This window comes from Homo sapiens, chromosome 11 (assembly GCF_000001405.40).
Source record: "Homo sapiens chromosome 11, GRCh38.p14 Primary Assembly".
Classification (NCBI taxonomy): domain Eukaryota; kingdom Metazoa; phylum Chordata; class Mammalia; order Primates; family Hominidae; genus Homo; species Homo sapiens.
This window is the reverse complement of record NC_000011.10, coordinates 47,549,514-47,563,948: the sequence shown is the minus strand read 5'-3', so window position 1 is coordinate 47,563,948 and position 14,435 is coordinate 47,549,514. Positions and strand designations below refer to the sequence as shown.

At 45.8% G+C, this 14,435-nt stretch overlaps 1 protein-coding gene and 1 pseudogene across 81 annotated transcripts in view, besides 5 other annotated features; both read left to right on the top strand.

Annotated features, from left to right (window-relative positions):
- Positions 1-14,435, top strand: part of CELF1 (CUGBP Elav-like family member 1) — a 99,603-nt gene that overhangs the window by 1,591 nt on the left and 83,577 nt on the right. For 72 of the 81 annotated variants that reach the window (NM_001376452.1, NM_001376450.1, NM_001376447.1 and 69 more), the window contains exon 1: positions 10,817-10,957. The exons of the other annotated variants lie outside the window; for them this stretch is intronic. The gene's annotated coding sequence lies outside the window, so the exon portion shown is untranslated. Of the gene's footprint in view, positions 1-10,816; positions 10,958-14,435 lie in introns of those variants that run through there. 81 annotated transcript variants of the gene reach the window in all.
- On the top strand, positions 6,116-6,415 carry RN7SL652P (RNA, 7SL, cytoplasmic 652, pseudogene; annotated as a pseudogene).
- Positions 10,542-11,071: a silencer, noted in NCBI's record as "silent region_3333". NCBI's record gives its function as "represses an Ori minimal core promoter by ATAC-STARR-seq in GM12878 lymphoblastoid cells {active_cell/tissue: GM12878}" and the evidence as "EXISTENCE:reporter gene assay evidence [ECO:0000049][PMID:35858748]".
- Positions 10,542-11,254: a biological region, named in NCBI's record as "NANOG-H3K27ac-H3K4me1 hESC enhancer GRCh37_chr11:47574247-47574922".
- Positions 10,579-11,254: an enhancer, noted in NCBI's record as "NANOG-H3K27ac-H3K4me1 hESC enhancer chr11:47574247-47574922 (GRCh37/hg19 assembly coordinates)". NCBI's record gives its function as "activates a minimal SCP1, AML or CMV promoter by ChIP-STARR-seq in naive H9 embryonic stem cells {active_cell/tissue: H9 hESC(naive)}" and the evidence as "EXISTENCE:reporter gene assay evidence [ECO:0000049][PMID:30033119]".
- Positions 11,142-11,231: a silencer, noted in NCBI's record as "silent region_3332". NCBI's record gives its function as "represses an Ori minimal core promoter by ATAC-STARR-seq in GM12878 lymphoblastoid cells {active_cell/tissue: GM12878}" and the evidence as "EXISTENCE:reporter gene assay evidence [ECO:0000049][PMID:35858748]".
- Positions 11,930-12,605: an enhancer, noted in NCBI's record as "H3K27ac hESC enhancer chr11:47572896-47573571 (GRCh37/hg19 assembly coordinates)". NCBI's record gives its function as "activates a minimal SCP1, AML or CMV promoter by ChIP-STARR-seq in naive H9 embryonic stem cells {active_cell/tissue: H9 hESC(naive)}" and the evidence as "EXISTENCE:reporter gene assay evidence [ECO:0000049][PMID:30033119]".

Sequence of the window (14,435 nt, the reverse complement as noted above, 5' to 3'; positions counted from 1 at the left end):
ACTGCAACCTCTGCCTCCCAGGTTCAAGCAATTCTCCTGCCTCAGCCTCCCGAGTAGCTGCCACCACGCCCAGCTAAGTTTTGTATTTTTAGTAGAGACAGGGTTTCACCATGTTGGCCAGACTGGTCTCAAAGTCCTGACCTGAGGAGATCCGTCCCCCTCGGCCTTCCAAAGTGCCGGGATTACAGGCATAAGCCACCATGCCCGGCCCATCTGGTGGTTTTAAAAGATTCATTTTCTTTTTTTTATATTTTGTTTTTGAGACGGAGTCTCCTTCTATTGACTAGGCTGAAGTGTAGTGGCGCCATCTCCACTCACTGCAACCTCCACCTCCCGGGTTCAAGCAGTTCTCCTGCCTCATCCTCCCCAGTAGCTAGAACTACAGGTGCCCGCCACCATGCCTGGCTAATTTTGTGTGTGTTTTTAATAGAGATGGGGTTTCACCATGTTGGCCGGGCTGCTCTTGAACTCCTGACCTCAGGTGTTCCACCCGCCTTGGTCTCCCAAAGTGCTGGGATTACAGGCATGAGCCACCGCACCCAGCCTAATTTTAGAATATTTTCATTGCCCTCAAAATAAGCCCCTTATGAATTAGCAGAGACTCACCATTTTCTCCCAATCATCCTCCAGCCTTAGGCAAACACTACTAACCTGCTTTCTGACTGTATAGATTTACATGTTTAGCATGTTGAGGGCATTTCTTCTTTTTACTTTTCTTTTTTTTTTTTCTAGGAAACAGGGTCTCACTGTCACCCAGGCTAGAGTGCAGTGGCAGCGTGATCATGACTCACTGTAGCCCCGACCTTTTGGGTGCAAGCAGTCCTCCTACCTCAGCCTCCCAAGGAGTTGAGACTACAGACGTGTGCCACGATACCTGGCTAATTTTTTATTATTTGTAGCGATGGGGTCTCACTATGTTGCCCAAACTGATCTCGGGACTGGGCACAGTGGCTCACACCTGTAATCCCAGCACTTTGGGAGGCGGAGGCAGAGGCAGGCAGATCACCTGAGGTCAGGAGTTTGAGACCAGCCTGGCCAACATGGTGAAACCCCGTCTCTACTAAAAAAATACAAAAATTAGCCAGGTATAATAGTGGGCGCCTGTAATCCCAGCTACTTGGGAGGCTGAGGCAGGAGAATCACTTGAACCCAGGAGGCGGAGTTTGTGATAAGCCAAGATCGCGCCACTGCACTTCAGCCTGGGTGACAGAGTGAGACTCCATATCAAAAAAAAAACAAAACAAAACAAAAAAAAACTGATCTGGAACTCCTGGGCTCAAACAATCCTCCTGATTTGGCCTCCCAAAGTACTGGGATTACAGGTCTGAACCACTGCATCCAGCCTAGGGTATTTCAAATAAATGGAGTCATACAATATGTGTTCTTTGTATCTGGCTGCTTTTTTTTTTTTTTTTTTTTGAGATAGAGTTTCACTCCTGTTGCCCAGGCTGGAGTGCAATGGTGTGATCTTAGCTCACTGCAACCTCTACCTCCTGGGCTCAAGCAATTCTCCCACCTCAGCCTCCTGAGTAGCTGGGACCACAGGTGCGTACCACCACACCTGGTGGCGAATTTTTGTATTTTTGGTAGAGACAGGCTTTCACCATATTGCCCAGGTTGGTCTCGAACTCCTGGACTCAAGCGATCTGCCTGCCTCAGCCTCTCTAAGTGCTGGCATTACAGGTGTGAGCCACCCCACCCAACTTTTTTTTTTTTTTTTTTGAGATGGAGTTTCGCTCTTGTTACCCAGGCTGGAGTGCAATGGCACAATCTCAGCTCACCACAACCTCCGCCTCTCAGGTTCAAGCAATTCTCCTGCCTCAGCCTCCCTAGTATCTGGGATTACAGGTATGCACCACCACTCCTGGCTAATTTTGTATTTTTAGTAGAGACGGGGTTTCTCCATGTTGGTTAGCCTGGTCTCGAACTCCCGACCTCAGGTGATCAGCCTGCCTCGGCCTCCCAAAGTGCTGGGATTACAGGTGTGAGCCACTGCGCCCAGCTTTTTTTTTTTCTTAATAGATATCACTTGTGTGTTGATACCTGTCTTATGCTTAGAATGTTTTCAAGGTTCGTCCATGTTGTAGCAAGTATCAGGACTGTCCTTCTTTTTATTGCCAAATAATATTTCAATGTATGGACAGACCACATGTTTTTCTCCATTTATCAGTTTATGAACATTTGAGTTGTTTCCACTTTTGGCTATTTTGAACAATGCTGCTGGGAACATTTGCATACAACTTACGGACATAGGTTTTCATTTCTCTTGTATATTTGACTAATCATGGAATTGTTAGGTCATAGGGTAGTACAGTGTTTAACCTTTTGAAGAACTGTCAGTTTTCCAAAGTGGACTGCACCTTTTTGCATCCCCACCAGGAGAGTATGGAGGGTTCCAATGTTGCCACATGGTTGCCAACACTTATTATCTGTCTTTCATTATAGCCATTTTAGTGGGTGTGGTGTCTCTTTGTGGAATAAACTTTTTTTTTTTTTTTTTTTTTTTGAGACGGAGTCTCGTTCTGTCGCCCAGGCTGGAGTGCAGTGGTGCGATCTCGGCTCACTGCAAGCTCCGCCTCCTGGGTTCATGCCATTCTCCTGCCTCAGCCTCCCAAGTAGCTGGGACTACAGGCGCCCGCTACCACACCCGGCTTATTTTTTGTATTTTTAGTAGAGATGGGTTTCTCCGTGTTAGCCAGGATGGTCTCAATCTCCTGACCTCGTGATCCACCTGTCTCGGCCTCCCAAAATGCTGGGATTACAGGCCTGAGCCACCTCACCCAGCGAAATACACTTTTTTTTTTTTTTTTTGAGACAGAGTCTCACTCTGTTGCCCAGGCTAGAGTGCAGTGGCATGATCTCCACTCAATACAAGCTCTGCCTCCCGGGCTCATGCCATTCTCCTGCCTCTGCCTCTCAAGTAGCTGGGACTACAGGCGCCCACCACCACGCCCGGCTAATTTTTTGTATTTTTAGTAGAGACGGGGTTTCACCATATTAGCCAGGATGGTCTCGATCTCCTGACCTCGTGATCTGTCCGCCTCGGACTCCCAAAGTGCTGGGCTTACAGGCGTGAGCCACTGCGCCCAGCCAGAATAAACTTTTAAATGTGGAATAATTTAGATGCACAGAAAGGTTTTAAAAATAGTACTGAGAGTCCATTATGCCCACCCCCCTCCAATGTTAACATTATTTTTGGGAACAGCTTTATTGAGGTATAATGCATATGCCTTGTCACCCTCCTAACTATACAATTCAGTGTTTGTTAATATACTCACAGGGTTGCACAACTATCACCAATATCTAATTTTAGAGCATTTCATCATCCCAAAAAGAAATCCTATACCCATTAGCAATCACTCCCCATTCCCTCATTCCCTGACAACCACGAATCGACTTTCTGTCTCAGTGGATCTGCCTATTCCAAACATTTCATATACATGGATTCATACAACATGTGGTCTTTGTATATTCATGTACACATATTGATAAAGATCATTATAACCATATAGATGAAATGTTTTGTTTTTTGTTTTTGAGACAGTCTCACTCTGTCACCCAGGCTGGAGTGCAGTGGCGCATCCTCCACTCACTAAAACCTCCACCTCCTGGGTTCAGGCGATTCTCATGCCTCTGGCCTTTTCTGTTCTTTTTTTTATTGAGACGGTCTCACTCCCATCACCCAGGCTGAGAGCAGTGGTGTGATCTTGGCTCAGTGCAGCCTTGACCTCCCAGGCTCAAGTGATCCTCCCACCTCAGCCTCCCCAGTAGCTGGGATTACAGGCGTGCACCACCACGCCCAGCTAATGTTTGTACAGATGGGGTTTTGCCATGTTGCCCAGGCTGCTCTTGAACTCCTGAGCTCTAGCAATCTGCCTGACTCAGCCTCCCAAAGTGCTGGGATTACAAGTGTGAGCCACAACGTCTGGCTTTTTTTTTTTTTTTTTGAGATAGAGTCTTGCTCTGTCACCAAGGGTGGAATACAGTGGCATGATCTCTCCTCACTGCAACTTCTGCCTCTTGGGTTCAAGCGATTCTCCTGGCTCAGCCTCCTGAGCAGCTGGGATTATAGGCATGCACCAAAATGCCTGGCTAATTTTTATATTTTTAGTAGAGATGGGGTTTCACCACGTTGGCCAGGCTGGTCTCGAACTCCTGACCTCAGGTGATCTGCCCGCCGCAGCCTCCCAAAGTGCTAGGATTACAGGCATGGGCCACTGCGCCCGGCCTCTGCTTTTTTCACTCAGTGATATCTGTGAATATTATATTGTCGGTGCAATAGAGGTAGATTTACTTTATTCTTTTCAAAAAGTTACATAGGCCGGGTGCCATGGTTCACATCTACCTGAGGTGGGATGATCGCTTGAGCCCAGGAGTTTAAGATCAGCCTGGGCAACAGAGTGAGACCCCAGCTCTATAAAAAATTACCTGGGCATGGTGGCACGTGCCTGTAGTCCCAGCTACTTGGGAGGCTGAGATGGTAGGATCACCTGAGCCTAAGAAATCAAGGCTAAAGTGAGCAAGCTGTGCCACTGCATTCCAGCCTGGCCACAGAGTGAGACCTTGTCTCACAAAAAAAAAAAAGGCCAGGCGAAGTGGCTCATGCCTATAATCCCAGCACTTTGGAAGCCTGAGGCGGGCAGATCACAAGATCTGGAGATGGAAACCATCCTGGCCAACATGGTGAAACCCCATCTGTAGTCTGCGTGCCTGTAGTCCCAGCTACTCAGGAGGCTGAGGTAGGAGAATTGCTTGAATCCGGGAGACGGAGGTTGTGGTGAGCTGAGATTGCGCCACTGCACTCCAGCCTGGGAGACAGAGCAAGACTCCGTCTCAAAAAATACATATATAATATATATTATATTATTATATATTATATTATTATATATAACATATTATATTATTATATGTAACATATTATATATTATATATAACATATATTATGTATAACATATATTACTATATATAACATATATAATATATTACATATTATATGTAATATATTACATACCGCATTATATACAATATATTATGTGTTATATATTGTAGCTGGGACTACAATTATATATTATATATACATTATATTATATTGTATATATATATTATTGGCTGCAATATATATTGGCTGCAATATATATATTATTGGCTGCAATATATATTATATATATATTATATATACAATTATATATATTATATATATTATATATACAATTATATATAATATATGTCATAATATTATATATTATGACATATATTATATATAATATATTACATATTATATTATGTAATATATTATATCTAATATATTACACATTATATTATATATTATATTGCACATATTTTATACATATATAATATAAATATATATATATATTTATATATTATATATAAATATATATAATATAAATATATAAATATATACATATACATATATTATTTATATAATATAATATATTAAATATATAATATATATATGAGGGTTTCATCTAATATATTATATATATATATAATATATATATGAGGGTTTCATCTAATGCTTTTATCCATTGATGGCTATTGACTAGATCCATTATTTTACCAAAATGCAGATTTTCTGATTATATATATAAAACACTCATAGGAAATTTGACCATAGAGGGATCAGGCTCGGGCCACCTCAACCACTGATGAGTCTGTGTCAGTAAAAGCAGGACAGACAACTTGACATCATAGGCTATAGGCCTCCAGATGTGATGCAGTGTGACGCTCGCAGCACCGCCTGAATGTAACCAGGCCTTAAGAGTTTTCTTTCCGGCCATGCGCGGTGGCTCACGCCTATAATCCCAACACTTTCGGAGGCTGAGGCGGGCAGATCACCTGAGGTTAGGAGTTCAAGACCAGTCTGGCCAACATGGTGAAACCCTGTCTCTACTAAAAATACAAAAAATTAGTTGGGCATGCTGGCAGGTACAGGTAATTCCAGTTACTCGGGAGGATGAGGCAGGAGAATCTCTTGAACCCAGGAGGCGGAGGTTGTAGTGAGCCGATATTGCATCATTGCACTCCAGCCTGGGCAACAAGAGCAAAACTCCATCTCAAAAAAAAAGAGTTTTCTTTTTTTCTTTTAGAGACAAGGGCAGGGCGAGGTGGCATGTGCCTGTAAGTCCCAACTACTCTGGAGGCTGAGGCAGGGGGATCACTTGAGTCCAGAAGTTCTGGGCTATAGTGCAGTATGTCAATCAGGTGTCTGCACTAAGTTCTGCATCAACATCGTGACCTCCAGAGAGTGGGGGACCACCAGGTTGCCTAAGGAGTGGTGAACCGGCTCAGGCTGGAAAAGAAACAGGTCAAAACTCCCATGCTGATCTGTAGTGGAATCATGCCTGTGAAAAGTCACTGCACTCCAGCCTGGGCAACGGAGCGAGACTCCGTCTCAAAAAAAAAAGAAAAATAGGCCGGGCGTGATGGCTCACCCCTGTAATTGAAGCACTTTGGGAGGCCAAGGCGGGTGGATCATGAGGTCAGGAGATCGAGAGTACCCTGGCTAACACGGTGAAACCCGTCTCTACTAAAAATACAAAAAATTAGCCGGATGTGGTGGCATGTGCCTGTAGTCCCAGCTACCCGGGAGGCTGAGGCAGGAGAATCGCTTGAACCCGGGAGGGGGAGGTTGCAGTGAGCTGAGATTGTGCCACTGGACTCCAGCCTGGGCCACAGAGCCAGACTCTGCCTCAAAAAAAAAACAAAACAAAACAAACAAAACCAAGAAAGAAAAGTAAATAGGCCGGGCGTGGTGGCTCCCGGCACTTTGCGAGGCTGAGGCGGGCGGATCACTTGAGGTAAGGAGTTCAAGGCCAACCTGACCAACATGGGGAAACCCCGACTCTACTAAAAATACAAAAATTAGCTGGGCGTGGTGGTGTGCACCTGTAATCCCAGCTACTCAGGAGGCTGAGGCAGCAGAATCGCTTGAATCTGAGAGGCAGACATTGCAGTGAGCCAAGATGGTGCCACTGTACTCCAGCATGGGCAACAGAGCAAGACTCCGTCTCAAAATAAATAATAAATAAATAAATAAATAACCAAATAGAGACAGGGTCTTACTCTGATGCCTAGGCTGGAGTGCAGTGTCGTGATCATAGCTCACTGCAACCTGGAACTCCTGGGCTGAAGGGATCCTCCTACCTCAGCTTCTTAAGTAGTTGGAACTGCAGATGTACATGCCACCATGCCAGGCTAACATTTTTAAATTTTTTATTTATATGGAGATGGTGTCTTGTTATGTTGCCTGGGCTGGTTTTGAATTCCTGGCCTCAAACAGTCCTCCTGCCTTGGCCTCCAGGGTAGCTGGGATTATGGGAGTATGCCATCATGCCTGGCTATCATCATTTCCTCTATATTTATCTATTATTATATGGCTATGAATGAACCATAATTTATCAATCTCATTTTGTATCAAATTTTATGCTGTTTAAACAATGTTATGGTCAGGTGTCATGGCTCGCACCTGTAATCCCAAAACTTCGGAAGGCCGAGTGGGGAGGGTTGCTTGAGCTCAGGAGTTTGAGATCAGCCTGGGCAACATAGTGAGACCCCTGTCTCTACAAAAGAAAAAAAATTAGTTGGACATGGTGGCACACACCTGTGATCTCAGCTACTCACAAGGTTCTGGTGGAAGGATCTCATGAACCCAGGAGTTCAAGGTTGCTGTGAACTATGATAGCACTACTACACTCCAGGCTGGGTGACAGAGCAAGACCCTGTGTCTAGAAAAGTAAAATTAAAAAAATAAAAAATGTTACAATCTCTGCCATTATCCATGAATATTCCCTTAGGATAAATTCCTAGAAAGGTATGTAAAAGTTTAGATTCCTCTAGGCAGATTATCTGAACTTTACTCCCATCACCACTTGGAGAAGGCTATTTCTCTGCACTCTTACTAACACTGGCTTTTTTTTTTTTTTTTTTTTGAGACAGAGTCTTGCTGTGTCGCCCAGGCTGGAGTGCAGTGGTTCGATCTCGACTCACTGCAACCACCGTCTCCCAAGTTCAAGCTATTCTGCCATCTCAGCCTCCCGAGTAGCTGGGATTACAGGCACCCGCCATCATGCCTGGCTAACGTTTGTATTTTTTAGTAGAAACAGGGTTTCACCAGGTTGGTCTTGAACTCCTGACCTCAGGTGATCCATCTGCCTCGGCCTCCCAAAGTGCTAGGATTACAGGCATGAGCTACCGCGCCTGGCCGACATTGGCTATTTTTTAAAAAAAATAAATCTTAATCTATTTGTAAGGCAAAACATGAAACAGGAAGCTTTACATACTCTTAAATCTCACACTAGGCTTTTTTTGTATTTGGACTGTTTAGCATTTTGTCTATGTTGCTGAAACCCTTTGAAGTTACAAGATCTATTTGTGTTCTTCATGTAATTGTTCTTCCCCCCAACCTTGGGCTAACAGTCTGTGGCCTTCCTTGGTAACTAAATGCAAGAGTGATATTAATACCTTACAAGTTCCTCCCTTGCAAATGGGAGCCCTAAGTCAAGGCACAGATAGAATAGGAAAAAGCTTCTGGTTGCTCTTCAAGAAGTTTATCGAGTTAGATACAGTGAAAAGCAATGGAGATATTAGGAGAATAACAAGATGGGCATGGAAGAGTTTCTGTTTGCTCTTCAAGAAATATCTATTGAGTCAGATATTGTGAAAAGCACTGGAGATATAATAAGACGGGCATGGTGCCTTTCCTTATTTAGCTCATGGGCAGGTTCCAAGAAGCTTCTAAAGGCGCAACATTTTGTTTTCCATATCTGGCACCTAGATATACCTATTCAGTAAGTCAACAATATTTATTGAGCATGTACTATGGATTAGGCATTATCAAGGCCCTGAGGATAGAGCAGTGAAATAAAACAGACAAAACCTCTATCCTCATGAAGTTTACCTTTGGTTTACCTTCTGGGCTACTGTCAATAAAACAAGTAAAATATATAAATACAAAATATACTGTGAGGCCGGGTGCAGTGGCTCACGCCTGTAATCCCAGCACTTTGAGAGGCAGAGGCGGGCAGAACACTTGCAGTCAGGAGTTTGAGACCAGCCTGACCAACAGGGGTTGAAACCCCGTCTCCACTAAAAATACAAAAATTAGTCAGGCATCGTGGCACGCGCCTGTAATCCCAGCTACTCGGGAGGCTGAGGCAGGAGAATTGCTTGAACCTGGGAGGTGGAGGTTGCAGTGAGCCGAGATCGCGCCACTGCACTCCAGCCTGGGTGACAAGAGCTAGACTCCGTCTCAAAAAAAAAAAAAAACTGTGTTAGATAATGATAAATGTTTTGGATAAAAATGAAAGTGGGATTGAAAGCATGGGTGTGTGTGTGTGTGCACATGCCATGCATGCAAGCAGTGTAAAATAGAGTGCTTAGGGAAGACTGGACTGAGAAGGTGACACTTAAGTCAAAGTCTGAAGGAGGTGAGGAAGTGAGCCATGTGGATATCCACATGATTCTATGGAGCACAAAAGGAGACAGACTCTCTGCTTGAAACATTTCTACAACCTATAGCAGCAAATATATGGTAATATTTGTGACAACATTCTGTAAGCTATAATGGTCTATAAATATAGGATGTTTTCAGTCAACTACACATAAAACTATTAACAAGAACAAGATCATATATCAGCATTATGAATGTATATAAAACTACCCAGTACAATTAGGGAATATGATCATGTACAATTTAAGGACTATATGGTACCAGAAAAACTCTGGTTAGTTTTTTTCCCCCCCAAAGGCGAAAGAGGAAAACCCTTGAGGCTTCTGCTTGGAAGCCCACTTGTTGTTTGTGGTAAGGTAGGATATAATCAGTATTTGTGGGTATAAAAATTATATTCTCTGGGAAGCCAGATGATGTTAGAGAGAAACCATCCCATGAGTTATTTGCATGTTGATGGGGCCAAAAGCTTCCAGAACAAAGTTTTCTTTCTTAATCTGCATTTAACTGCCTCACAAGGTCTGGAACCTAGGAATAAATGTTGGCTTAAACAACAACAACAACAACAACAAATTGTACTGCTTGCGTTCCATCTAGACCCAGGGATTCCAGAGTAACTCAGGAGGAAGTCTTTAGAGACCTAACCTGAGTTAAGAAAAAAAAATATATATATATATTTTTTTTTCGGTAAAAGCAGGTTATGGCTGGGCAATCGGTCTCTTAATAGAATCTTTGTGAACTTCCTTATGTCGCAGCGATCGTTGCCAGGTTGTGCGTTCACACTGATTATCTTGCTAAAAAGCACTCCCTGCACTTGGAACACACATATTCACATCCCAGCAAAGAAGGAAGGCCTGGATGCTGTTGCTTGTCTGCTGGGGCAAAAAGGGGCGTGCCATGTGCCCAACGCTGGCCAAGCACCAGTCACTCACTCATCCATTTATTCAACAAATATCTTATTATGCTCCTATTCAGTGCCCAGTAGGGGTGCCTCCTTGCCCACCAGGGTCATCTAGAGCTCCTGTGGGTGCGATGGGCGGAGTCGAGAACTTCAGATTCCCAGGCCTGGCTCTTCCCTCCAGTAGGGATCGGAGACAAAGAGATGCGCCCCTGCAGCTCCCTAGGTTGAGGGCTCCGCCCGCGGCCCCAGGGGCTTAGGTGCGGCTGCTCCTCCACTTCCCAGCCCGAGGGGGCGCTGCAGCGCCCGGCGCTCGGCCCGCCCCTACGCCGCGCTCCGCTCGCATCGGCGCTGCGGGCGGCGCCGCGGTGATACGTTCCCCCTCGCCGCGCTCCCCCTCCTCCTCTGCCCTCCCCGCCGGTGGTAGGTGCCGGAAGTGCCGCCATTTTGGGGTGTTCTGCTCTGGCGGCAGCGGCAGCGGCGGCGGGACGCGGAGGCTCCCCCGGGATTCGGCCTCAGCAGCGAGGCGGCGGCGGCGGCTGCGGAGGCGCAGGCAGCAACTGAGGCAGCGGCAGGCTCAGGTGCAGCCGCTGGTGAGTGCTGCGGCCGCAGGATAACGGGCCGCGGGAGGGAGGGAGGGGAAAAAAGGCAAGAGGGAGGCGCCGCGGGGCGGGTCCGGTTAGGGAGGCCGCGGGTCACAGGGCCCTCCGGGCGCGGCCTTTTCTCGTTCCCTGCGTCCTGGGGTAGGGCTGCGATCTCCTCCTGCATGTCGGGGTCCCCGGCTCCCCGGGTCCTGTCGCGTTTGCCCAGCGCGTGCCCCCGCGCCCAGGGAGACCCGCCCTCCTCGTGGCTTTGCTTCCTCTCCCCGCGCCCTTTACCTTCACTCTCTAGGCTCAGAGGCCTCGTGCCCTGCCCAGGGCCAGCTCCGTTTTCCTCGTCTTTCTGGCTGCCGTGCTGGACCCAGGCTACCTGCCCGGGACACCCCATCTCTGCCCCTGTCGTCTCACGTGTTCTTAGTGTCCACTCCTGTGGGTGCCGAAGGGTCCGCGCCCCTAGAAGGCAGCGCTTTTCCCGAGCCTCGAGAGCCCCTCGTTCCTCGCCCCAGATCCGCTACGGCCTTGGCTCGCCCTCCCCCCACATCAGGTGCTCACCCAGTCGTGGCCTAGTAGCTGGGCAGGAATCTCGCACCCGGGAGCGGGAGGAGCACATTAAAGCGCTTTCTTCGCTAGGGACCAGGCTTTGATTTTAAAGCCAGTGGTGTCGTGGTTGTGGTCCTCCGGGTAGGATGTTGTTGTAATTCTTGGAGACCATTACACATGCACCAAGGAGCTTCTCATTGGTTTAGGCTCATACCCATAGTTGAGGGGAATGTGGTAAGATTTTGACTGGAATCTGTTTCCGCAAAATGGAATCTCTTTCTCGCCAGGAGAGAGCTGTAGGTTTATTACCTTCGAGTAAAAAGGCTGTATAACAGTTTTAAAGAGCATGAAATGCTTTATAATGTGTGCAGTGTAAGAGGTTACAAATAATGAATCTTTTACAAGAACTTCATCTTTTTTTTTTTTTTTTTTAAGACGGAGTTTCGCTCTTGTTGCTTAGGCTGGAGTGCAGTGGCGCTATCTCGGCTCACTGCAACCTCCCCAGGTTCAAGCAATTCTCCTGCCTCAGCCTCCCAAGTAGCTGGGATTACAGGCATGTGCCACCAGGCCTGGCTAATTTTCGTATTTTTAGTATAGACGGGGTTTCACCATGTTGATCAGGCTGGATGGTCTCGAACTCCTGACCTCGGGTGATCCACCCGCCTCGACCTCCCAGAGTGCTGGGGATTACAGGCGTGAGCCACCGCCCCCGCCCGGAACTTCACCTTTTAAAGTTCTTTTCACTGTCTTTGATTACCCATGAATTGGGAAGGCTTTAATTGGATGCTTTCCCCTTGCCCACAAGTGTAGCTTCTCTCCAAGCGCTTTGGAAGTTTCAGCCTCTCTATTAATCCTTGGTGAGAATGAAGGCGTCTCAATATAGAATCACCCTTTCTGTTTTAGCATTAAAGAGTCCACTTAGAAAATCATGGAATTACAATAGCATGCACAAACTGTTGCTACAGTGATTTTCTTCTCATGTTAATTTTTATATTCTTCAGGCTTTACTTACCTAGTATGTGGTTTCTGATCATGAGTTAGCCAAGATTGAAGCAGCACTGTTGGTAAAGCAAAGCTGGAGCTTTCAGTTGTTGCTTTAACCAGGAAGGTTATGGTTCCCCTAGTGGTTCTTTCCTCATGACAGTCCACCACCTGTTTCCATTAAGAATGGCCTTTGGCCCAGATCACAGGCCTCAACTTCTATTCAACCATTCATTCTGACCCCTTTAAAGAAAACCCAGGGTTTTCTTTAGAGATTGTGCTATCTAGACTTAAGATCTGGTAGCAAGAGGGGCTGTTAGAGATGGAATATCTTTTCTAGAACCCCTTCACTTTTTGGATGAGGAAACTGAGGGCCCTAGAAATTAAGTGACTTACTTGCCCAAGGTTATGTTTTTTTTTTTTTTAAACAATATCACGAGTAATAATGCAATCTTCCCTTTGAGGTGTAATGAAATGGGAAAGGACCCTGAATTGAAGTTAGAACTAGGCCTGGATTGTAATGCTTGCTCTGTCATTTACTGGTTACACAACCTTGGCAAGTCACTCAACTGTTCTGCTCCTCAGTTTATTCGCACCTGCAAAATGAAAGAAACAGCATCTGTCTCACATGGTATTAGTTCAGCTTCAGTAACATGGTGAAATACCCATGATGTAATAGGCAGACAGTGAAGTTTTTAGCCAAAATGATTTTTTTCTAAAGACTTCCGTGTATTTTTCTTAATACAGAAGTTACAGATTCACTATAAAAAAAAAACAGGTAAGTCAAAAAATGAAGAAACTCACCCATAGTGCCACCACTCAGAGATGATTGTTAAATATTGGGTCTTTATCTTGCCCATCCTTTTCATATGCTATAGAAATGCCTATCTTCCCAAAATAGGCTTATCTTAGTCACAGTTTTGTGATGTGGGTCCGGTCCCCCCCAACCCCGCCATGGAGTCTTGCTCTGTCAACCATACTGGAGTGCTCACTGCACACCCTGTCCCCCGGGCTCAAGCAGTTCTCCTGCCTCAGCCTCCCGAGTAGCTGTGATTACAGGCGCCCACCACTGCGCCCAGAGGGTTTTTGTATTTTTAGTAGAGATGGGGTTTCACCATGTTGGCCAGGCCGATCTAGAACTCCTGACCTCAGGTGATCTGCCCACCTCAGCCTCCCAAAGTACTAGGATTATAGGTGTAAGCCACCGTACCCGGTGTTTTTTTTTGTTTGTTTGTTTTTGTAGAGACAGGGTGTCACTGTTTTGCCCAGGCTGGTTTTGAACTTCGGATTACAGATGTGAGCCACTGAGCCTGGCCTACATTTTAAAATTGTGGTTAAAAACACAAAATTGGCTGGGCGCAGTGGCTCACACCTGTAATCCCAGCACTTTGGGAGGCTGAGGTGGGCGGATCACGAGGTCAGGAGTTCGAGACCAGCCTGGCCAATATGGTCAAACCCCATCTCCACTAAAAATACAGAAATTAACCAGGTGTGGTGGCATGTGCCTGTAGTCCCAGCTACTTGGGAGGCTGAGGCAGGAGAATCCCTTGAGCCCAGGAGGTGGAGGTTGCAGTGAGCTGAGATTGCACCACTGCACTCCAGCCTGGGCAACAAGGCAAGACTCTGTCTCAGAAAAAAAAAAAACAAAAAAAACCCACAACATTTACTAACTTAGCCATTTTTAAGTGTTCTGTGACATTAAGTACATTCGCACTGTTGGAAAACAGATCTGTGAGTTTTTCATCTTGCGTATCTGAAACTCTATGCCTGTTGGACAACAGCTCCCCTTTTCCCCCTCCTACTAGCCCCTGGTAACCACCATTATTTCTGTTTCTACCAATTTGACTACTTTAGATAACATCATGTAAGTGGAATCATACCATGTCTGTTTTTTGTGACAGACTTATTTCACTTAGTGTAATGTCCTCAAGACTCATCCATGTTGTACTGT